Raw genomic sequence first — 22698 nt, forward strand, 5'->3', positions numbered from 1 at the left:
AAGTTAGGGTCACCACGCAGTGGAGAAACCTGACAAACCCTCCCTCAGCCAGGTGTTCAAAGTCACCAACAACAGTGGTAACTCACATTGAGAGTATGCACTCTTGATATAAGACAAAGTGAAAACGATGCTTTATCCCTGTGGTCTTCCTCCCCAAAACCCATAGCACCATTCTCATCATGAGAAGAACATCGGACAAATCCTAACGGAGGGACATTCTACAAACTACTTGACTGGTGCTCCTCAAAACTGTTAGGGTCATCAAAAACAAGGAAAGTCTGCGTAACTGTCACAGTTTAGATGAGTCAAAAGAGAAATGATTATTGTAATTTGGTATCCTAGAGGGGATCCTGGGACAGCAATAAGACATTAGGTAAAAACTAAGGAAATCTGAATAAAATGTGAATGTTGTTAAATAATAATGTGTTGGTCATGAATAGCCAATATTATTAAAATTATTAATAAACGATGTTAACAATAATATATTGGTTCATTAATTGTTACAAATGCACCATATTAATGTAAGATGTTAATAATAGGGGAAATTTGGTGAGATGACATATGAAAACTCTCTATACTATCTCCACAATTTTTCTGTAAAAATGTAAAAATTGTCTAAAAAAATAAAGGTTTTTTTTAATGAAAGCATGTAACAGCAGTTCCATTCCTAGGTATCTACCCAACAGAAATGAAAACATGTCCACAAAAAAACTTGTACACCAATGATTATAGCAGCATTATTCATAACAGCTAAATGCAACAGATACAATGTGGCATACCCATATAACAGAGCTATTCAGCCACAAAAAGGAATGAAATGCTGACACATGCCACATGGATGAATGTTGACAACATTATGCTAAGTGGAAGAAACCAGTCACAAAGGTTCACGTATTGTATGATTCCATTTATAAAATGTCCGGAATAGACATATCCATAGAGACAGGAAGTAGATTTGTGGTTGCCCAGGGCTAGGGGAGGAAGGAATGAAAAGTGATAGCTAGTGGGTCCAAGGTTTGGGATGATGAGCATGTTGTAAAATTGATTGTGGTGATGGATGCACAACCTTGTGAATATACTAAAACCACTGAATTGTACACTTTAAATGGGTGAATTACAGCTCAGTACTGCTGTTATTAAAAATAAATGTTTGTAAACATGCTTTGACAACCAACTCGTGCCGTAAAAATGTAAAGCAATAATACTTAAATTTTCATAAGAGTGGATGGAGCCAGTAAATAATAATAATTAATAATAATAATACTTAAATTTAGTTGAGTAGAAGGGTGAGGGGGAAACAAATGTCACATTTGGCATAATGTAGGGAGTTGCCTTAAGGTGTGAATGCAAAAAACAGCTATCTGTGTGCAGAGTCTTAGGCTTTTAAGAATAAACACTAACTCAGCCTTAAAAAGAAACGACACATGCCACAACACAGATGAATCTTGAGCACATTTTGCCAAATGAAATAAGCCAGTCACAAAATGACAAATGCCCTACGATTCCACTTACCTGAGGTACCCATAGAGACAGAAAGCTAGAAGGGTGGATGCCAGGGGCTGGGGCTGGGGGAAATGAGCAGCTGTTGTTCAATGGGTACAGAGTTTTAATTCTGCAAGATGAAAAGATTGATTGTACAACAATGGGAACATACTTAACACTACTGAACTGTACACTAAGAACTGTTAAAATGGCAAGTTGGGCTGGGCGCAGTGGCTTACGCCTATATTCCCAGCACTTTTGGAGGCTGAGGCAGGTGGATCACTTGAGGTCAGGAGATCAAGACCAGCCTGGCCAACATGGGGAAACCCCATCTCTACTAAAAATACAAAATTAGCCAGGTATGGTGGCGGGCACCTGTAATCCCAGCTACTCAGGAGGCCGAGGCAGGACAATCGCTTGAACCGGTGGGGAGGAGGTTGCGGTGAGCCAAGATGGCACCACTTCACTCCAGCCTGGGCGAAAGAGCAAAACTCCATCTCAAAAAAAAAAAAAAAAAAAAAGGCAAATTGTATGTTATGTCTATTTTACTATGCTAAATGTGGTTTAAAAGTTTAAAAAATATTTTTTTAAAAAAATGAACACTAACTTACCCTGCAAAAGGATGATTCTGAGTGGGGACAAGGCTTACCTACCCCACCAGAAGGCAACTGGGCACTTTCTCACTAGCCTAGAGGAAATATGTATTTGTAACATTTCAATCTCAGTTTCCCTGGCCCCTCTTCAAGCCTCAGCACATGGCTTTGTTCTCCTGGGGACTGAATATCAAAAGATAATCTTTTTTTTTTTGAAATGGAGTCTTGCTCTGTCGCCCAGGCTGGAGTGCTGTGGGGGTATCTCGGCTCACTGCAAGCTCCGCCTCCTGGGTTCACGCCATTCTCCTGCCTCAGCCTCCCAAGTAGCTGGGACTACAGGCGCTCGCCACCACGCCTGGCTAATTTTTTGTATTTTTTAGTAGAAACAGGGTTTCACCATGTTAGCCATGATGGTCTCGATCTCCTGACCTTGTGATCCACCTGCCTTGGCCTCCAAAAGTGCTAGGATTACAGGCGTCAGCCACCACGCCCGGCCAAAAGATAATTTTGAACAGGCCTGGCTCACACCTGTAATTCCAGGACTTTGGGAGGCTGAGGCGGGAGGATAATTAGAACCCAGAAGTTCAAGAAGAGCCTGGGCAACAGAGGGAAACTGCATCTCTACAAAAAAAAATTTTAAATTAGCTGGGTGTAGTGGCACATGCCTGTGGTCCCAGCTACTCAGGAGGCTGAGGCAGGAGGATCACTTGAGCCCAGGAGTTCAAGGATGCAGTATGCAGTGAGCTACAATCACGCCACTGTACTCCAGCCTCAGACAGAGCAAGACCCTGTATAAAAAAGAAGGTAATCTTGCTCTACCCAAAGTCAACTTTCTCAATACAGTCTTTATCCTGGGACAAAACTCTGAAAAAAATTCTACCTCTGGCACCCACCTTATATGGGTGTGCAAGCCTGGGAGTGGATGGAGAGACAGGAGCAGATGACAAATGCAGTACAGGCCGAGTGGGCCTTATTCAAAATGCTTGGGCCCAGTATTTCAGATTGCAAATTGTTTTTGGATTTTGAAATCTTTATGGCCGGGTGCAGTGGCTCACACCTGTAACCCTTTGGGAGACCGAGGCAGGTGGATCATCTGAGGTCAGGAATTCGAGACCAGCCTGGCCAAAACGGTGAAACTCTGTCTCTACTGAAAATACAAAAATTAGCTGGGAGTGGTGGCACGCATCTGTAATCCCAGCTACTCAGGAGGCTGAGGCAGGAGAATCGCTTGAACTTGGGAGGCGGAGGTTGCAGTGAGCTGAGATCGCACCACTGCACTCCAGCCTGGGCAACAAGAGCAAAACTCCATCTCAAAAAAATAAAAAAAGTAAATTTTGCATAGTGAAGTTTAAAATAAAAAACAATGTTAGTGGCCGGGCGCAGTGGCTCATGCCTGTAATCCCAGCGCTTTGGGAGGCCGAGGCGGGTGGATCACGAGGGCAGGAGATCGAGACCAACCTGGCTAACATGGTGAAACCCCATCTCTACTAAAAACACAAAAAATTAGCCGGGCATGGTGGCGGATGCCTGTAGTCCCAGCTACTCGGGAGGCTGAGGCAGGAGAATGGCGTGAACCCGGGAGGCGGAGCTTGCAGTGAGCCGAGATCACACCACTGCACTCCAGCCTGGGCGACAGAGCAAGACTCTGTCTCAAGAAAAAAAAAAAAAAAAAAGCAATGCTAGTGAGCAGTATGAATTTATTTGTTCAACAGGGTAAACTCTATGCACCAGGAACTAGCACTCACCTTCATATTCCTGGCATGTTGTAGAGGCTCAATAAATGTGAAAAAGCCATGGTTATCAAGTGAAAAATACGAGATAACGGTCAGCTGGCTCTTGCCATGGGGTTAATTAGAAGGCAACGATGACTCACTGAGGAAATACGTAAAGGGCACCTACCATGTGCAGGCACTGCCCAGTTCCTGACCCCAAGGAGCTCATAGTAGGTAGGCAGACAACAAACTAAATAAGCAAAAGCACTTGGGAGAAAGAAAGCAGGGGAGTAGGGACTGAGAGGCAGAGAAATGTTAAAAGCGCCACCAGGGACTGTCTCACTGGGAAGGTGACATTTTAGCAACGGAGGTAAGGGGCCAAGCCATGAGTGTATTTCTGCGACAAGTGTTCCTCAAAGAGTCTGTTTGCCCAGCTGGTCCAGATCAACAAGGCTGGTGCTCTGCTGGAGGGGCGGTGGGGGGAGAGGAAGGAGGGGACAATGAGGTCAAAGGGAAGGAGAGAACGGTGAGCTCATTGCATGGCACCTCAGAAGCAATGGAGGGATTTTGGTTTTTACTGAGTGAGATAGTTGGCTAATAGAAGGTTTTAGACAAAAGATATCATCTGACTTCTGTTTTTAAAGGGACATTCTAGTTGTCTTACTGAGAATATACTGCAGAAGGGCAAAGATGGAAGTCAGGAGACCAGCTGGGTGTCAGGAGGCTGGTGCCCGATGCGATGGGAGGCGGGACCAGGACGGAGGCAGAGGGGGTGCTGGAAAGGGGTCAGCTGAGAAATGAATGTGCAGTATTTTCACAGTACAGCCAAGAAGAATTGCTGGCGAATTGCATGTGGATGTGAGAAAAAGAAAAATGGAGGACAGTGCCAAGTTTCTTTTGGACAAGAAAGGATGGAGATGTCATTAACTCTGCTGGGAAAGACTAGCAATGGAGCAGATGTTAGGAGGGAAGATCAGTTCAAAACGGGATGTTTTCAGTGAGAAATGCTAAGGGTGGGTCTAGCAAATCGCTGGCTGTAAGTATCCAGGTTCAGAGCCAAGGGCTGGGCTGGGATATTAATTTGGGATTTACTGTAGAGATGTGGTATTAAAAGTGTGTGACTGGGTGAGATCTCTAAGAAAGTGAATATCGATAAAGAAGTCCAAGGATTCAGCCTTGGGACACTCCAACTTTAATGGGGAAGAATATGGGGACAAAAGGGAGTGCCAGTGAGATGGGAGGGGGGTGTAGTCAGGAAAGTGAAGGGAGCTGCCATCTGCATCAAACGCTGCTGATGAACACTTGAACTGAGGATTGACCATTGGGTTTTGCAAGATGAATGGCGGTGGGGACCATGACAAGAGCAGATTTGTGGGATTGATGAAAGACTGCTCAGGGTAGGTTTAAGAGAAAATGAGCCTCTAGCCCTAACTACCAGTTTCAGGAAATGAAGGGATGGTGGAACATGACAAATGACACTACATGGGTTGGGCGCAGTGGCTCACGCCTGTAATCCCAGCACTTTAGGAGGCTGAAGTAGGTACATGGCTTGCACCCAGGAGTTCAAGACCAGCCTGGGCAACATAGCGAGACCCCATCTTGGGAAGGGAAGGGGAGGGGAGGGGAGGGAAGGGATACATTCAGCAAAACCTAGAATATGGGAAATTTTACAGGGCAAATGACTCAAATTCTTCAGTAGATAAACGGCAAGAAAAATTTTACAAAACCAGAGAGGGATGAACAATCTATAGATTGAAAGAGCTAAGAATCTTATTGACTAAATATAACATGTGGGCCTTATTTAGACCCTAAATCAATCAAGCCAAGTATTTAAAAAATTAATCAGGGAACTCTTGAATATGGAAGAGATATTTAAAGATATTACATGAAGATATTAAGGAATTGTGTTAATGTTTTACACATGATGATGCTATTGTGGTTATATAGTTTTAAAACAGTCCATATCTTTTAGATACTATACATGCTGACATATTTACAGACGAAATGATTCAATGCCTGGCATTTGTTTCAGAACAATCCAGAGAAGGGAGAATAACTGAAACCATATTAGCCATGTGTTAATAATTGTTGAAGTTGAGGGGGTGGGGGAAGGTACTTTAAGGTTCATTGCACTGTTCTCTCAACTTTAACACAGTTTGAAATGTTTCCCTAACACAAAGTTAAGAGAGAGAATATGGATAGGAAGAAAGAAACTGGAGACAATATGGATAAGTTTATTAAGTTTTGAGGAGCAATGTGGCAATTACCAGAGGGAAAAATGGGGTCAAGAGAGGGTGCTTTTCTGTTTTCAGGGAACAACTATATGTTTGCTGGCTGCGGGGTCTGAACCCTGGAGAGGGGAAGCAATCATGAGGGAGGGAGCATGGTGCTTTGGTCTGGGGCTAATGCACCTGCCTCCATGGCTTGGGTCTTACCCCGCTGCTGTTGCTCAGGGAAAGGCAGCCCCCTAATCAAACAGGCAGCAAATCCTTGGAATCGCAATTATCTGACCTGAGGGAGGGTAACCATCGGCCAGGATTCTGGCATCAAATATCAGGTGATTGGACTGGGCCCCACTTCCCTTTCAGTCTTGAGATTGGCCCCTTCATTGCAGAGGACCAACAGCAGACCGCTGACCCCTGGGGACCAGCTGGTGTCTTTTCCCCCACCCCTTCACGCCCACACACTCAGTCATTGCTGATTGGACATGGATTGGACACCTGACCCAAAGCAGCCAATCAACTGGCTTAGGAGCACCCTATAACATCTGCAGCCTGGGATGCACAGAGGTGAAACCACTGGGTTTCCTCTCTTGAAAATTGGACCCGGGCCGGGCACGGTGGCTCACGCCTGTAATCCCAGCACTTTGGGAGGCCGAGGTGGGTGGATAACGAGGTCAGGAGATCGAGACCATCCTGTCTAACACGGTGAAACCCCATCTCTACTAAAATATAAATAATTAGCCAGGCGTGGTGGCAGGGGCCTGTAGTCCCAGCTACTCGGGAGGCTGAGGCAGGAGAATCCCGTGAACCCGGAGGCGGAGGTTGCAGTGAGCGGAGATCACGCCACTGCACTCCAGCCTGGGTGAAAGAGCGAGACTCCGTCTCAAAAAAAAAAAAAAAAAAAAAAGGAAAGAAAGAAAGAAGGAAGAAAGGAAGGAAGGAACGAACGAACGAAAAAAAGAAAGAAAGAAAGGAAATAAATTGGACCCAAAATACAGAAAAAAAATCAGTAAGAGGCACTATACTTGAAAGAGGATAACCTTAGGGTTGGCAGTGATGTGCAAGATAAAGTCACAGGGAAGGAAAGAAAAGTGAGCAAGTACAAGGAGAGGGAATCTACAGAGCAAAGGAAGCTACAGAGAGGCACAGGGACCAGATTGCACGGCCCCAGAGCTAGAAAGTTCCCTGGCTTGGTTTTCCTCAGGTTTCTGTTTCAGGTTTCCCTCAGTATTGTTCCCCAATACTACCTTACATCAGGCCCAAGAATAATTAACTTCCTGTCCTGAGAGCTTGTGACATCTTATTGGCCTTTTTTCCAACCACTATATGCCTGGGGACCTCAAAATGGGAGCCAGCGATAGAGGTAATTCAATGCCCTTCCCACTGTGACTATTGCGACATGTCTTAAAGCTTCTGAATTCATGAATCTTAATGGGTACTACAAAAGGTGAATGCAGATGAACATTTATTCTGTTACACAGTAGCAAAGCAGCAGGGGAGAAAAGTGATATAATTGCTTCAATTCTATCATTAATGTCACTTAATTTTGAATAAATTCACTTTAGATACATTTGAAAGTATCTTTCCAGCTACAGTTACTTATTTACTGGGTAAAAATTGAAGTAAAACTGTTCCTACACTCATGATCTCAGTCTACTATGGAAATTTTGCCAGAAAGAGCTATTAAGTAACTCCTGCGAAGGGCACATTTAGTGTCTAAGCTGACTCAAAAGGCAAGGAGGGCATCCTAGGGTTTGCTGTGTATGTGTACAAAAATTAGCAGGAAAATACCTAGAATAGCACTTCAAAGAAAATTCATGCCTCAGAAAGTTTCTTATAAAAAATGCACAGGCCAGGTGTAGTGGCTCACGCCTGTAATCTCAGCACTTTGGGAGGCTAGGGTGGGCGGATCAGTTGAGGCCAGGAGTTCGAGACCAGCCTGGGCAACATGGAGAAACCCTGTCTCTACTAAAAATACGAAAATTAGCCAGCAATGGTGGTTCGTGCCTGTAGTCCCAACTACTTGGGAGGCTGAGGCAGGAGAATTGCTTGAATCCAGAAGGCAGAGGTTGCAGTGAGCTGAGATGGTGCCACTGCACTTCAGCCTGAGCCTGACAGAGCAAGAATCCGTCTCAAAAAAAAAAAGTACAATCACCCCAAACAAAATTTTGGAATTAAAAAAAATGAAGGAGACTGTAGTTTATAGGATACCTTTCTTTCTTGCCTTTCTAGTTTATGGGATGTTTTTCTTGATATAAAACAACGTCCTACCAAGCCCTTCATAGGGCACATCAGTTAAAAAATAAGCAGTCTCTGTTACAAACGCTCAACTATCTGTCTATTGGGACCACGCATGGTGGATACAAATGGCAACAATACAGTTTCTATCCTTAGGGGAAAGGCCCAGAAGCAGAACTTTTCCTGGAGGAGACAGTCCCTGAGCTTGATCCTGAAAGAGTGTGCCCCCTAAAAAGCAGGACAGGAGAAAGGGCATGCCCTGCACCAGGAACATTTTGTGTTCCTATTCTAAACAAGCTCAAGGGCTACAAGCTGAATCTTGCAGTGTGTATACAAATACAGAACTCATATTTTAGCGATTTAGAAACACAGTGTTTTATAAAGGTAAGGCTAACAAAATGAAAGCCTTAGAACACTACTCCAATGCAAATTTATCTTCATGATACCCATTTCTACTTTTTTTTTTTTTTTTTTTTTTTTGAGATGGAGTCTCACTCTATCCCCCAGCTGGAGTGCAGTGGTGTGATCTTGGCTCACTGAAACCTCCGCCTCCTGAGTTCAAGCGATTCTCCTGACTCAGCCTCCTGAGTAGCTGGGATTACAGGCATGCACCACCACGCCCGGCTAATTTTTGTATTTTTAGTAGAGACGGGATCTCGCCATGTTGGCCAGACTGGTCTCGAACCCCTGACCTCAGGTGATCTGCCCTCCTAGGCCTCCCAAAGTGCTGAGATTACAGGCATGAGCCACCATGCCTGGACTTCTACTCCCATTTTTAAAAGTTATCACTACCAGATTTTCCTGCAGCCCTAGGCCCAAAAGAGTTTCTCTCATCCTCTTTCAAGCCCTCCCCATTCTGAAGGGACTTGCCCTGGATGTTTATAGGACAGCTAAGTGGCCCTAAGGAAGAGTGAACTTTGGAAAAAGATCAGCGGAAAAGAATTAAGTGGGACTGTATTCCTAGCAGGTACTTTCAAGATGAAATCTATAAACTGATAAGGAAAGCTGAAAACACAATATGCTCCTGAAATTGAAATATGTATATTTTGGTCTGTTGAAACCTAAGAATGAAACTGAACCAGGTTTTGGCAAATTAATTGACATTCCCCAAGCCCTATTTGTTAAGTGGGTGTTCCTTGGAATCACCTGTGGGGCCAGGAAAGAAATAGAGGGACGAGAAAGAAGGGTGGTAAAGAGGAAGGGAAGAAACCAGCACTGTCCCAGAGGCAGAGCTGGGTGTGTGCTGAAGTGCTGAGGGTGGGGGAAAGACAAGATTTTCACACCAGAAAACAAAGAAACAAGCAGAGGCCCCAGAGAATTATGTGGTCCTTAAAGTTTGGAAGCCTTTCTCTAATTCCTTATCAACATCCCTCAAGGAATCAGAAGTAAACTGTTAACTGAAGCTCCTCCTCAGTAGACTGAGCCACCCACAGCCAGATAACTGCACAATCAACTAAAACTTTACTTCACATGTATTAGGTGCATGCATAACACTACTCCAAGGCATGATGGACCTATACAAGGCCAAGCAAGGTGGCTCACAACTGTAACCCCAACACTTTGGGAGGCCAAAGCGCTTGCACCCAGGAGTTCAAGACCAACCAGGGCAAGATGGTGAGACCCCATCTCTACCTAAAAATTTTAAAAATCAGCCGGGTATGGTGACACATGCCTGCTGTGGGAGGATGGCTTGAGCCCGGAAGGTGGAGATCCACCATGATAGTGCCACTGCACTCCAGCCTGGGCGACAGAGCGAGACCCTATCCTATTAAAATTGTGTGTGTGTGCGCGTGCGCGCACGCATGCGTGTAAAAACTGTGTGTGTATATATATGTGTGAGTGTATATATATACACACACACATAAACTCTGGTAACTATTAATAAAATGCAAGACAGAGGTAACTACCACCACTGGTACAAAGTGCACTTTTTTTTTTTCAGACGGAGTTTCGCTCTTATTGCCCAGACTGGAGTGCAATGGCACCATCTCGGCTCACCGCAACCTCCGCCTCCCGGGTTCAAAGGATTCTCCTGCCTCAGCCTCCCGAGTAGCTGGGACTACAGGCATGTGCCACTACGCCCGGCTAATTTTGTATTTTTAGTAGAGACGGAGTTTCTCCATATTGGTCAGGCTGGTCTCGAACTCCCGACCTCAGATGATCCGCCTGCCTCGGCCTCCCAACGTGCTGGGATTACAGGGGTGAGCCACCGCGCGCGGCCCAAAGTGCACTTTTTAATATGCCTTCACTATTCAACCACGGGCACTCATGGGCCAGAAAGAACAAAGGCACAGTTAACTCCACTGCTCTGGAGAAAAGAAAGCTGACAACAAGGAATCTGATGCCTTCCTTCAGTGGGAAGGAAACACCCTGACATTGGAAGTGGTCTCCACACCGGGTTGTACACTGATGGGGGGCGGAGTCGGGGGCAGGCCAACACCTCAACAGCAGTCACCAAAAAGGTGCTTTTAACTATCAATAGCAAGTATTAACATGTTTATAGATTGCTGCTAACAGCTGGCCAAAGAAAGGTACATACAAATGCCCCTTTTTAAAAAACAAAAATAGCAAGGATTGTAACCGTAGGGGTGGGGGGCGGGGTGGGGGAAGCACACACTAAAAATCAGTTTGGGCAGAATTTAAGCTGTTAAATGGACACACTTAGCAAACTCTCTGGGCTCCATCGGCCCCCACCTCCCCTCTGGAAACATCGCCTCGCCCAGGAATTAGGACTGCGTGTATGTTCGCCTAACACCTGCTGCGGCCTCCAGCGACATCGTCGCCGACAGGACTGCGCTGGCACCCTCCCTGCTGGGCTAGTCCTGTCTCCGTCACTAAACGCCTGTGACCTTAGGTAAACTGCTTAGTCTCAGTATTCTCATTCGTAAAATGGGGATGAGAACACAGTCGTCGCAGGATCGCAGCCAGAATTCGTTTCATTCAACACGGTGCCTGGCACTTCTATGTGGACCTGCGGGCAGACGCGGCGACATTCAACAGAGTCCAGGAACCGCAGGCCCCGCGGCCTGGGCGGTCAACCTCGGAACCTCCTGCAACGCTGGCTCCCGGGAAGCAGACCCAACTCCGCGGGGCGCCTCCACCTGCCAAGCCCCTCCAGCCGCGCCTCTCCCCGAGCCCGCCAGCGCCGTAGGGGCCGCAGGGCGCAGGGCTTCGGAGGACCGGAGGCCGGGGCGGGGACAGCGACCCGGCGCCCACCCCGAGGGCCCCACGCGAGGGCACCACGTCCCCGGCGTCTCCCCGGGCTCCAGGGGCAGCAGCGCGGCTCGGAGCCCTTTACCTGCCAACGATCACCACGCAGCCGGCCGCGGAGGACGCCATGGTTGGGCCGGGGACGCGGCGCCGCGGGCGCTGGGACCAGGCGCCGGCGGAGCTGCGAGCTCTGGGCTCCGGGGAGGGCGGGTCCCGCGCCCATTGGCTGCGCGCGCGGACCGGGAGGGCGGGGAGGGCCGCTTGGTCCCTGAGTGGGGTGCGCGCCGCGGGCCCGAGACACCGGGAGACACACGGCGCGCCGACCCTCGTGGGCAGGGGCAGGACCAGCGCGGGGGCACGTCGGGGGGTGGAAAGCGGGAAGACCACGCGCTTGTGACTGTCAGCATTCACCGTGAAGTCCGTGTCTATAGGAGGGGACACGGGCAGGCTGGCACGGGCTCTAGCGCTAAAGCACCCTAGAGAAACTGTCAGAGAATGTCCCCTTTGCTAATTCGTCTCTGAAAGACGCCTGCCGCTGCCGCCAACTGCGAACTGGGCGCAGGGACTGCGACAGCAGTGAAAGAGAACACCTGATGCGTTCATCTGCGCTACGGAAGGACACGTCTGAATTCCTCCACGGAGCACACTCTGCACTCGGTTTATGTATCAGAAAAAGGAAATGCCCTCGTGCCCTGACTCCTGGCCTTCTTGGAGCCCGGAACAGACCAAGAGGAAGGGGCATCACACATTGCCTGACAGTGGTGTGCGTCCACACAGCACAAGCTGAACGGGAAATGACACAGTCATTAGACAGAGGAGACAGTACTCAAGCTGGAACCGCAGCCAACACTGAGATGATAAAAGGAAGTCTTCCTTTGTTTCCCCTGAGTCAGGAACGTGGAAAGAGAAATCTCAGGGGAGGGGTTAGGTTTTTTTGTTTTGTTTTGTTTTTTAAAGAACAGTTTCACAAATTATCGATAAATATTTGTAAAGTATTCAACCTCAAGAGAAATGAAAAGTAACACAAGGAAGATAAGTCATCTCTCACTCATCAGATTGGCTAAGTCACATGGATTGATTATATTCCCATATCCGTAATGGAGTGTTTCGGACATGCAACTTACACACAGTAGAAGGCAAGCTTAAATGTTGAGGACTTTTTGGAGGGAATGTTACAGTACATTGTTGAGACAGCCGCTAGCCTGAGCAACCGCGCCTGCTCTGGCTGAGAATACAAGGCTCCAAAGCTTCCATCTTCTGATGGAGCAGTTTCTGTAGTCAGTTACACAGGCAGCCAATATAATAATCAAGGCACCCAGGGAGTGAGCATCCTGTGACTGCTCACTACCGGAGGCTATGGGGGCAGCAGACTGGCTTGTTTGCTGCTCCCTGCAAAGTCATGCCTGAAATCCCAGCGCTTTGGGAAGCTGAGTAGTAAATAATAGCTTGAGGCCAGGAGTTCAAGACCAGCCTGGGCAACAAAGCGAGACCCCTGTCTCTACCAAAAAATTAAAAAACTTATCCAGGCTGGTGCCGCCTGTAGTCTCAGCTACTCAGTAGGCTGAGGCAGGAGGATTGCTTGAAGCCAGGAGTTTGAGACCAGCCTGTGCGAGATAGTGAGAACCCCCCCCCCCGCATCTCTAGTGTGTGTGTATATATATGTGTGTGTGTGTGTGTGTGTGTGTGTGTTTATATATTTATTTATTTATGTGTACATATATTTATAACTTTAATCCTTCTGGTACCAAACAAAAAAAATACAGATTTATTTAAATTAGCCAGGTGTGGTGGTGCATTCCTGTAGTCCCAGCTACTCAGGAGGATCTCTTGAGCCCTGGAGTTCAAGGCTGCAGTGAGCTATGATTTTGCCACTCTACTCCAGCCTGGCTAACAGAACAAGACTTTGTCTCAAAAGAAAGCAAAAGTGGCTGGACGCGGTGGCTCACGCCTGTAATCCCAGCACTTTGGAAGGCCGAGGCGGACGGATCACAAGGTCAGGAGATCGAGACCATCCTGGCTAACACGGTGAAACTCCGTCTCTACTAAAAATTAGCCAGGCGTGGTGGCAGGCGCCTGTAGTCCCAGCTACTCGGGAGGCTGAGGCAGGAGAATGGTGTGAACCCAGGAGGCAGAGCTTGCAGTGAACCAAGATCACGCCACTGCACTCCAGCCTGGGCGACAGAGCGAGACATCATCTCAAAAAAAAAAAGAAAGCAAAAAGTGCTGGGCCCTTGCTCGTTGCAAACACAGGAGTCATCTGGCCCTCTATGTAACCCTGTGGGAATTAAGGATCCAAGAACCCATATAAATATGGTGTCACTCTGGCTATTGCTTTTACTGTAATAAGATAATTTATTTTTAATCCAGGAGTCTCGTGACTTCTGTCAGCATCCAAGTGCAGAACCTCTGTTGCAATTTAGTGAAAATCTCAGACCCTTGCAGTTTCTGACATACACAAAATTTAGAATGTATGTACCCTTTGGCTTAGCAGTTCCAATTCTAGAGATCTGTTGTACAGAAATTCAAGTGGACAAGAAGTTAGACAAATTTCTTTATTTCAGCATGGTTGTTAATAGAAAAATATTGAAAACATGATGAATATCAATGAGAAATGTTTTTAAAGACTATGGAATTTTCGGAGAATGTCTGCTTCTGACCAAGAGGAAAAATAAGGATGAAACTTAAACTCCTTCTTGAAACAACTAGAAGGCCCCCAAAATAGAAGAAACAGGGATTTCAGACCCTGGACAAGAGGCAGCCTAGGACAGCGATCCCTGAGAGAGGGAAATAGACAAGGCATGGGCTGCAGCTCCGAAAGGGAAAGCTCAGAGCCTGGTTTTCTCACTGAGTTAAGGAAAAAGGAGACTGAAGTTCAGAAAAGCCAAATGATGAGAATTTGCAGGGCATGGTAGCAGAGAGGAGGCAAACACTCAGGGGAAAGAGGGAACTCCAGGGACCTGTAGAAGAGAGAGGCCCTTCACATGTTTGGCTGAGTGCTGAGCTGTGCGTGTGAGAGAGGAACCTGTGAGAGGGTGGGGTGAGAAGTCCCAGAATGAGTAAGCCAACCACCCCCAGACTCATGCAGGACTCAAAGATGTGTGTTCCCACAGCCAGACTGAAAAGACCTCATAATACACAGGACACCAGATAGAATCCTCAGGAACATGTGGCTTCAGCAGTGGAGCTAAGCTAGTCCTAGACTAAAGGTTTCTCTGGAACCATTTTAAGAAAGATCAAAAGCCAGCCTCACAAGGACCACCCAGATTCCAGGTAACTTAACTGTACTCCAGAACAAAATCCGTTACTATTGAAAGGAACACAACAAGTTTGAAAAAGAACACATTTAGAAGAACTCTACGTGATTTCAGCATTTACTATAAGTGAAACTCCCAATGTGATGGTAGTTAGGGACTGGAGCATTTGGGAGGTATTTAGGTCGTGAGGGTGGAGCCTTCATGAATGGGATTACTGCCCTTTTAAAAGGGACTACAGAGAGCTCTCTTGTCCTCTTTCCACCATATGAAGATATAACAAGAAGACAGCAGCCTGCAACCTTGAAGAGGGCCTTCACCAGAGCCCAATCTTGCTGACACTCTGATCTTGAACTTCCAGCCTTCAGACTGTGAGAAATAAATGTTGGTTGTTCATAGGCTACCCAGTTCATGGTACTTCTGTTACAGCAGCCTGAACTGACTGAGAAAGGTACAAAGACAATTCAATAGAAAAAGGATAGTCTTTTCAACAAATGGTGCTGGAGCAATTGGATATGCATAAGCAAAAATAATAATAATAATCAACACCTTAATTCTTACCACTTAACCACATACAAAACCTCAAAATGCATTATAGACCTAAATGTAAAACCTAAAAACTATAAAACATGCAAAAGAGAACAGAAAACTTTGTGACTGTTAGGCAAAGATTTATTAGATATGACATCATAAGCGTAACATAAAAGAAAAGGTTGCTTAGTTTGACTTCATCAAAATTAAGAACTTAGACATTTTCTAAGACAATATTAAGAAAATGGAAGGAAAAGCCACAATTTGGGATAAAATATTTCAAATCACGTATGTTACAGGGCTTGTATAGGAAATATATTAAAAAGTCTTAAACTCAATAATAATTTTTTTTTTTTTTGAGACGGAGTCTCACTCTCACCCAGGCTGGAGTGCAATGGCACAATCTTGGCTCACTGCAACCTCCACCTCCTAGGTTCAAGCAATTCTCCTGCCTCAGCCTCCCAAGTAGCTGGGATTACAGGTGCCCCCCACCACGCCTGGCTAATGTTTGTATTTTTAGTAGAGATGGGGTTTCACTATGTTGGCCAGGCTGTTCTCGAACTCCTGACCTCAGGTGATCCACCTGCCTCGTCCTCCCAAGGTGATAGGCTTACAGGTGTCAGCCACCACGCCCAGCCTCAATAATAATTCTTAAAATTTTTAAATGGGCAAACTAAAAAGAAATTACCTCAGAGGTCAAATAAAATAGCCCTTGTTTGGGAAACAAGGAATTGCAATTCAGGTACACTGAATCAGGGCAGCCCTGAACAGAAAGTTGTTTTCAGAGGAAGTTTATTGGTTAGGCAGAAATCCTAAATTGCAAACCCATTCTGGATGTTTAGAGTACTTCCTGTTGGAGTCCAGTGTATACTGACATCAGTTGTTATCCAAGTCTATCGGAACATTCTGTGGTTGGACCGTTAGCATGTATAAGAGCAGTCTTCTCGTAATCTTTCAACTCCTCCACTTTAGGAAGTCTTAAACTTAAGCCTTAATTAATTCATTTTCTTTCATACTCAGCAACCAAAAACAAACAATTAAAACTAGGCAAAGGACTTGAATAGACATTTTTCCAAAGAAAATATACAAATGGCCAATAAGCACATGAAAAGATGCTGAATGTCATTAGTCATTAGGGAAATGTAAACTAAAACCACAATGAGATACCACCTCACACACATTAGGATGGTACTGTCAAAACAAACAAACAAAAAAGAAAATAACAAGTGTTGGTGAGAATATGGAGAAATGAGACCCCTTATGCGCTGTTGTTGGGAATGTAAAATGGTGCATAGCAGACACTATGGAAAATAGTAGGGCAGTTCCTCAAAAAACAAAAAATAGAATTACCAGATGATCCCACAATTCTACTTCAGGGTATGTACCCAAAAGAATTGAAAGTTTGTCTTAAACAGTTATTTGTAAACCCACGTTCATAGCAGCATTATTCACAATAGCCAAAAGGTGGAAGCAACCCGAGTGTTCATCAATAAATGAAAGGTGATAATGGCTTGGCTCTGTGTCCCCAACCAAACCTCATCTCGAATTATAATCCCCATGTGTCAAGGCGGGACCTGCTAGGAGGTGATTGGATCATGGGGGTGGTTTCCCCCATGCTGTTCTTGTGATAGTGAGTGAGTTTTCACAAGATCTGATAGTTTTATATGCACCCAGCATTTTCTCTGCTTGCACTTCTCTTTCCTGACGCCATGTGAAGAAGGTCCTGGCCAGGTGCAGTGCTTCACACCTGTAATCCCTGCACTTTGAGAGGCCAACGCGGGTGGATCACCTGAGGTCAGGAGTTTGAGACCAGCCTGGCCAACATGATGAAACCTCATCTCTACTAAAAATACAAAAAATTAGCTGGGCATGGTGGTGTGTGCCTGTAATCTCAGCTATTCAGGAGGTTGAGTCAGGAAGAATCGCTTGAACCCAGGAGGCAGAGGTTTCAGTTAGCTGGGATTGTGCCACGCACTCCAGCCTGGGCAACAAGAGCAAAACTCCATCTCAAAAAAAAAAAAAAAAAAAGAAGGTCCTTGCTTCCACTTTGCCTTCCACTATGATTGTCAGTTTCCTGAGACCTCCCCAGCCCTGCGGGACTGTGAGTCAATTAAACCTCTTTTCTTTATAAATTACCCATTCTCGGCAATTCTTTATAGCAGTGTGAGAATGGATTAATACAAATTGATAAACAAAAATGTGGAATATACATACAATGGAATATACTCAGCCTGAAAAGGGAAGGAAATTCTGATGGATGCTACAACATGGATCAATCTTGAAGATATGCTAAGTAAAATAAACGAAACACAAAAGAAAAAAATATTCTATAATTGTACATATATGAAGCACCTAGAGTCGTCAAATTCATAGAGACGGAAGGTGGAATGGTGGTTGTCAGGGGCTGTGGGGAGAAAGAAATGGGGAGTTTGGAAATAGAGTTTCAGTGGCACAAGAAACCACTTCAGTGGAGGTTAGTTCACAACAATGGGAATATATTTAACAGTACTGAACTGTACACACAAAAATGGTTAAGGCTACGCATGGTGGTGTGTACCTGTAATCCCAGCACTTTGGGAGGCTGAGGCAGATGGATCACTTGAGGCCAGGAGTCTGAGACCAGCCTGGCCAACATGGAGAAACCCTGTCTCCACTAAAAATACAAAAATTAGCTGGGCATGGTGGTGTGCACCTGTAATCCCAGCTACTCGGGAGGCTGAGGCACAAGAATTGTTTGAACCCAGGAGGCAGAGTCTGCAGTGAGCCAAGATCCTGCCACTGCACTCCAGGCTGGGTGACAGAGTGACACTCTGTTGCAAAAAAAAAAAAAAAAAAAAAAAAAAGTTAAGATGTTAAATTTTATGTTATGTATATCTTACCAAAAAATTTTTAATAACCAAAAGATTTGAACACATTTCACTGAAAAGATACATGGTTAACATGAAAAGATACTTAATATGATTAGTCATTAGAGAAATGTTAATCAGAACCATAATGAGATACTACCACATACCTAACAGAATGGCTAAAGTTTAAACAAACAAAACTGAGAATTCCAAGTGCCAGTGAAGACGTGAAGCAACTGAAACACTCCTATATTGCTGATGGAAATGCAAAATCGTACTTTGGAAAACAGTAGTTCACAGGAAAACCTGTATGTAAACATTTGCATTTGCATTGTTTATAGTCCAGAGAGTGGAAACACCCAATAGCCATTCTATTGGTAGGTGGGAAAACGATATGGAGTACATATAGTACATCCACACAATGGACGATAAAAAGGAACAAACTCAGCAATAAAAAGGAATGAACACAATGTAAAATGTAAAAACAAATGTACACAATGTGGATGAATCTAGAAGAGATAGTCAAATGAAAGAAGCCAGACTTGGCCTGGCACAGTGGCTCATGCCTGTAATCCTAGCACCTTGGGAGGCCAAGGCAGGCAGATAACTTGAGGTCAGGAGTTTGAGACCAGCCTGACCAACATAGTGAAACCCTGCCTCTACTAAAAATACAAAAATTAGCCAGGTGTGGTGGTGGGCACCTGTAATCCCAGCTACTCGAGAGGCTAAGGCTCGAGAATCACTTGAACCCAGGAGGAAGAGGTTGTAGTGAGCTGAGATCAGGCCACTGCACTCCAGCCTGGGCGACAGAGTGAGACTCTGATACACATACACACACACACGCACACACACACACACAGGCCAGACTCACACAGGCCAGACTCAAATGGCTATATACTGTGTAATTCCATTTATATGAAATTCCAGAAATGTCGGGCATGGTGGCTCAAGCCTGTAATCCCAGCACTTTGGGAGGCCAAGGCGGGCGGATCATGAGGTCAGGAGATCGAGACCATCCTGGCTAACGTGGTGAAACATCATCTCTATTAAAAATACAAAAAATTAGCCAGGCATGGTGGCGGGTGCCTGTGGTCCCAGCTACTTGGGAGGCTGAGGCAGGAGAATGGCGTCAACCTGGGAGACGGAGCTTGCAGTGAGCCAAGATAGTGCCACTGCACTCCAGCCTGGGTGACACAGCAAGACTCTGTCTAAAAAAAAAAAAAAAAAAAAAAAAAAAAAAAAAAAAAAATTCCAGAAATGATAAAATGATTGGGATAGGGAATAGATCAGTGAGTACCAGGAGTGCGGCGAAGAATTAAATACAAAGGAGCAGAGAGAGGGAATTGAGAGGGGAGCAGAACTGTTCTGTGTCTTGCCAGTAGTGCATATTTACAGTATGTATTTGACAGAACTCTTAGAATTGCATGAAAATTTTAAAATAAATACATAAAGTATTTAAATTTTGGGATGGAGCCATACAGTTCTTAGTATACCATTAAATGCCAATATTAGAAAAGAGAAAGCTTTCAAATCCATGATCAAACTTCCACCTTTAAAAATTAGAAAAAGGAAAAGCAAATTAATCTCAAAGTTATTAAAAAGGAAAATACAGAAATTTATGAAATAGGGGCCAAGTGTGGTGGCTCATGCCTGTAATCCCAGCACTTTGGGAGGCCGAGGCAGGCAGATCATGAGGTCAGGAGATCGAGACCATCCTGGCCAACATGGTGAAACCCCGTCTCTACTAAAAATACAAAAATTAGCTGGACGTGGTGGTGTGTGCCTGTAATCCCAGCTACTTGGGAGGCTGAGGCAGAAGAACCGCTTGAACCAGGGAGTCGGAGGTTACAGTGAGCTGAGATCGCGCCTCCGCACTCCAGCCTGGCAACAGAGCAAGACTCCACTGCAGGGGTCCATCCCACAGACCCTGACCCAATGACAGATGAATAACATACACTGACACAGATATTCTGCCTGTTAGTCTGGCTAAGGGTCCAGGCCACTCACAGACACCGATGAAGGTGCTGTAAAGAGTAGCAGCCGTGGCCCCATTCAGCCAGGGAAGCTCGCATTTATTCAGTATAGATTAAATGACAAAGGTCTTGAGTAAACACCACTAGAGGGTAACTGACCTTGTTGCCCACCCCCCAAGTAGAGAGCAATTATGCACCCGTGGTTGATCAAAGGTTGGACTGAGGACCACATGAGTAAACAAGCTATTTAAATAAACTACTCTACATTCCTTTGTATCTACTTTAAGCTATTTACTCAAGGTAAGGATTAGACTGCTTTCAGCTAACCCTATCCTGAGACTTTTGCAAAACCTTCTAGCCTTCCAAGAAGATTTGTGTCTATATCTTATAACTTCATCTTAAAATGTTTCCCATCAGCCTGACTGAACTCCCACACTTTGTCTCAAAAAAAGAGAAATTTATGAAATAGAAAACCAAATAACAATAGAGAAAATTGTTAATAGGGAAAATGAATGAAACCGAAAATTGTTTCTTCGTAAAGATTGATGAAATCAGTAAAACCTTGGCCAGACTGGTCAGAGGAAAGAATACATAAATTACCAATATCGCTACAGATCATACAAAAAACAAAAAGGTAATAAGGGAAATTTATGAGCAACTTTATGTCAATAAATAAATGAATTTATGAAATGGACAAATTCCTGGAAGCCTTGAAGGAAACAAATAACTAAGCCTCACTCAGAAAGAAACAGGTAAGTCTTCTGTCTGTGAAAGGCATTGATTTGTAATTTTAAAAAACTGTCCTCCAAAGAAAACTGTAGGCTCAGATGTCATCAAGGGTAAATTCTCCCGAGCATTTAAAGAACAAATATCCCAACTGAATGGAAACTCTTCTAGAAAGTACAAGAGTAGGAAACGTTTCCAACTTATTTTATGAGGCCAGCATTATCCTGATATCAAACCTTACAAAACAGCAAAGGAAAACTACAGATCAATATCCCTCATGAACATGATGCAAACATATTTTTTAAAACATTTAGCAAGTTGAGTCTAGCAATATATAAAAAAGAATAAAACATTATAAGTAAAGGGGGTTTTTCATAGAAACATAAGGTTGTTTCAACACTTGAAACGTAATTCATGATATAAGTAGACTAAAAGAAAAAAACTAGGCCAGGCATGGTGGCTCATGCCTGTAATCCCAACACTTTGGGAGGCCAAGGTGGGTGGATCATGAGGTCAGGAGATTGAGACCATCCTGCCTAACATGGTAAAACCCCGTCTCTACTAAAAAAAAAATACAAAAAAAATTAGCCTGGCATGGTGGCGGTTGCCTGTAGTCCCAGCTACATGGGAGGCTGAGGCAGGAGAATGGCACCACTGCACTCCAGCCTGGGCAACACAGCGAGACACCATCTCAAAAAAAAAAAAAAAAAAAAAAGAAAGAAAAAAACTATATGATAATCTTAACAGATGTAGAATAAACTACAACAAAATTCATTGTCTATGCATGATTTTAAAACTTTAATAAAAGCTAAGATTAAAAGGGAACATCCACTACCTGATAAAGAGCAATCACAGAAAACTTACAGCTCATATCATTCTTTTTTTAAAAAAAAAACATAAATTTTATGTTGCATATTTATTTGTTTTTGAGACAGTCTTGCTCTCAAAAACAAGAGCAAGGCTGGAGTGCAGTGGTAGCTGTCTGCTCACTGAAACCTCGGGTCCAGGCAATTCTTCTGCCTCAGCTTCCTGAGTAGCTGGGACTACAGGCGTGCACTGCCACACCCAGCTAATTTTTGTATTTTTAGTAGAGATGGGGTTTCACCAGGTTGGCCAGGTTGGTCTCAAACTCCTGACCTCAAGTGGTCTGCCCACCTTGGCCCCCCAAAGTGCTGGGATTACAGGTGTGAGCCACCACACAGGGCCTATTTTGCAGCATATTTGAAGCTTACAACATGGTATTATGGGATACATTTAAATAGCAAAGTGAAGCATATTAACATATTTATCATCTCACATAGTCACTCTTTTGCAACAAGAGCAGCTAAAACCTACTTATTTAATAAAAATCCCTAATAGAATATAATTTTATTGTAGTGGCCAGTTGCAGTGGTTCACACCTATAATCCCAGCACTTTGGGAGGCCAAGGTGGGTGGATTGCTTGAGCTCTCCAGTATGAGACCAGCCTGGGCAACATGGCAAAACTCCATCTCTACAAAAAACACAAAAATTAGTTGGGCACAAAAATTATCTGGGCATGTTGGCAGACACCTGTGGTCCCAGGTATTCAGGAGGCTGAGGCACAAGAATCACTTGCGCCCAGGAGGTAGAGATTGCAGTGCACCACAATCACTCCACTGGACTCCAGCCTGGCTACAGAGCTAGACCTTGTCTTAAAAAAAAAAAAAAAAAAAAAAATGGAAGAAGAAAAAGAAAAAAAACAAAAAAAAACTATAGTCCTGGTGTTATTGTTATACATTAGATCTGTAAACTTGTTGATCCTACATATCTGCTTCTTCATTTCCTTTGACCTACATTTCCCCCTTTCCTCCCCTACTTCCACCTCTAGTAACCACTGCTTTAGTCTCTATATCTGTATATCTGACCTTTAAGAAAAAAATTCCACGTATAAA

The 22698-nt window shown here is 44.6% G+C and overlaps 1 protein-coding gene across 3 annotated transcripts in view, besides 4 other annotated features; it reads right to left on the bottom strand.

The window, feature by feature from the left end:
- The window catches only part of CRYL1 (crystallin lambda 1), a 122189-nt gene extending 110540 nt beyond the window's left edge, over positions 1–11649 (bottom strand). For all 3 annotated transcript variants that reach the window (NM_001363647.2, NM_015974.3, XM_005266416.6), the window contains exon 1: positions 11546–11649. In NM_001363647.2, coding sequence (NP_001350576.1) covers positions 11546–11586 — 41 coding nt within the window. In that variant the 5' untranslated portion in view covers positions 11587–11649. The remainder of the gene's footprint in view (positions 1–11545) is intronic.
- Positions 11325–11874: a silencer, noted in NCBI's record as "silent region_5153". NCBI's record gives its function as "represses an Ori minimal core promoter by ATAC-STARR-seq in GM12878 lymphoblastoid cells {active_cell/tissue: GM12878}" and the evidence as "EXISTENCE:reporter gene assay evidence [ECO:0000049][PMID:35858748]".
- Positions 12055–12164: an enhancer, noted in NCBI's record as "active region_7424". NCBI's record gives its function as "activates an Ori minimal core promoter by ATAC-STARR-seq in GM12878 lymphoblastoid cells {active_cell/tissue: GM12878}" and the evidence as "EXISTENCE:reporter gene assay evidence [ECO:0000049][PMID:35858748]".
- Positions 14513–14622: an enhancer, noted in NCBI's record as "active region_7425". NCBI's record gives its function as "activates an Ori minimal core promoter by ATAC-STARR-seq in GM12878 lymphoblastoid cells {active_cell/tissue: GM12878}" and the evidence as "EXISTENCE:reporter gene assay evidence [ECO:0000049][PMID:35858748]".
- Positions 20162–20456: an enhancer, noted in NCBI's record as "tiled region #3329; HepG2 Activating DNase matched - State 9:DNaseU". NCBI's record gives its function as "activates a minimal TATA promoter and a strong SV40 promoter by Sharpr-MPRA in HepG2 cells {active_cell/tissue: HepG2}" and the evidence as "EXISTENCE:reporter gene assay evidence [ECO:0000049][PMID:27701403]".

Source organism: Homo sapiens, chromosome 13, assembly GCF_000001405.40.
Source record: "Homo sapiens chromosome 13, GRCh38.p14 Primary Assembly".
NCBI classification, from domain to species: Eukaryota; Metazoa; Chordata; class Mammalia; order Primates; family Hominidae; genus Homo; species Homo sapiens.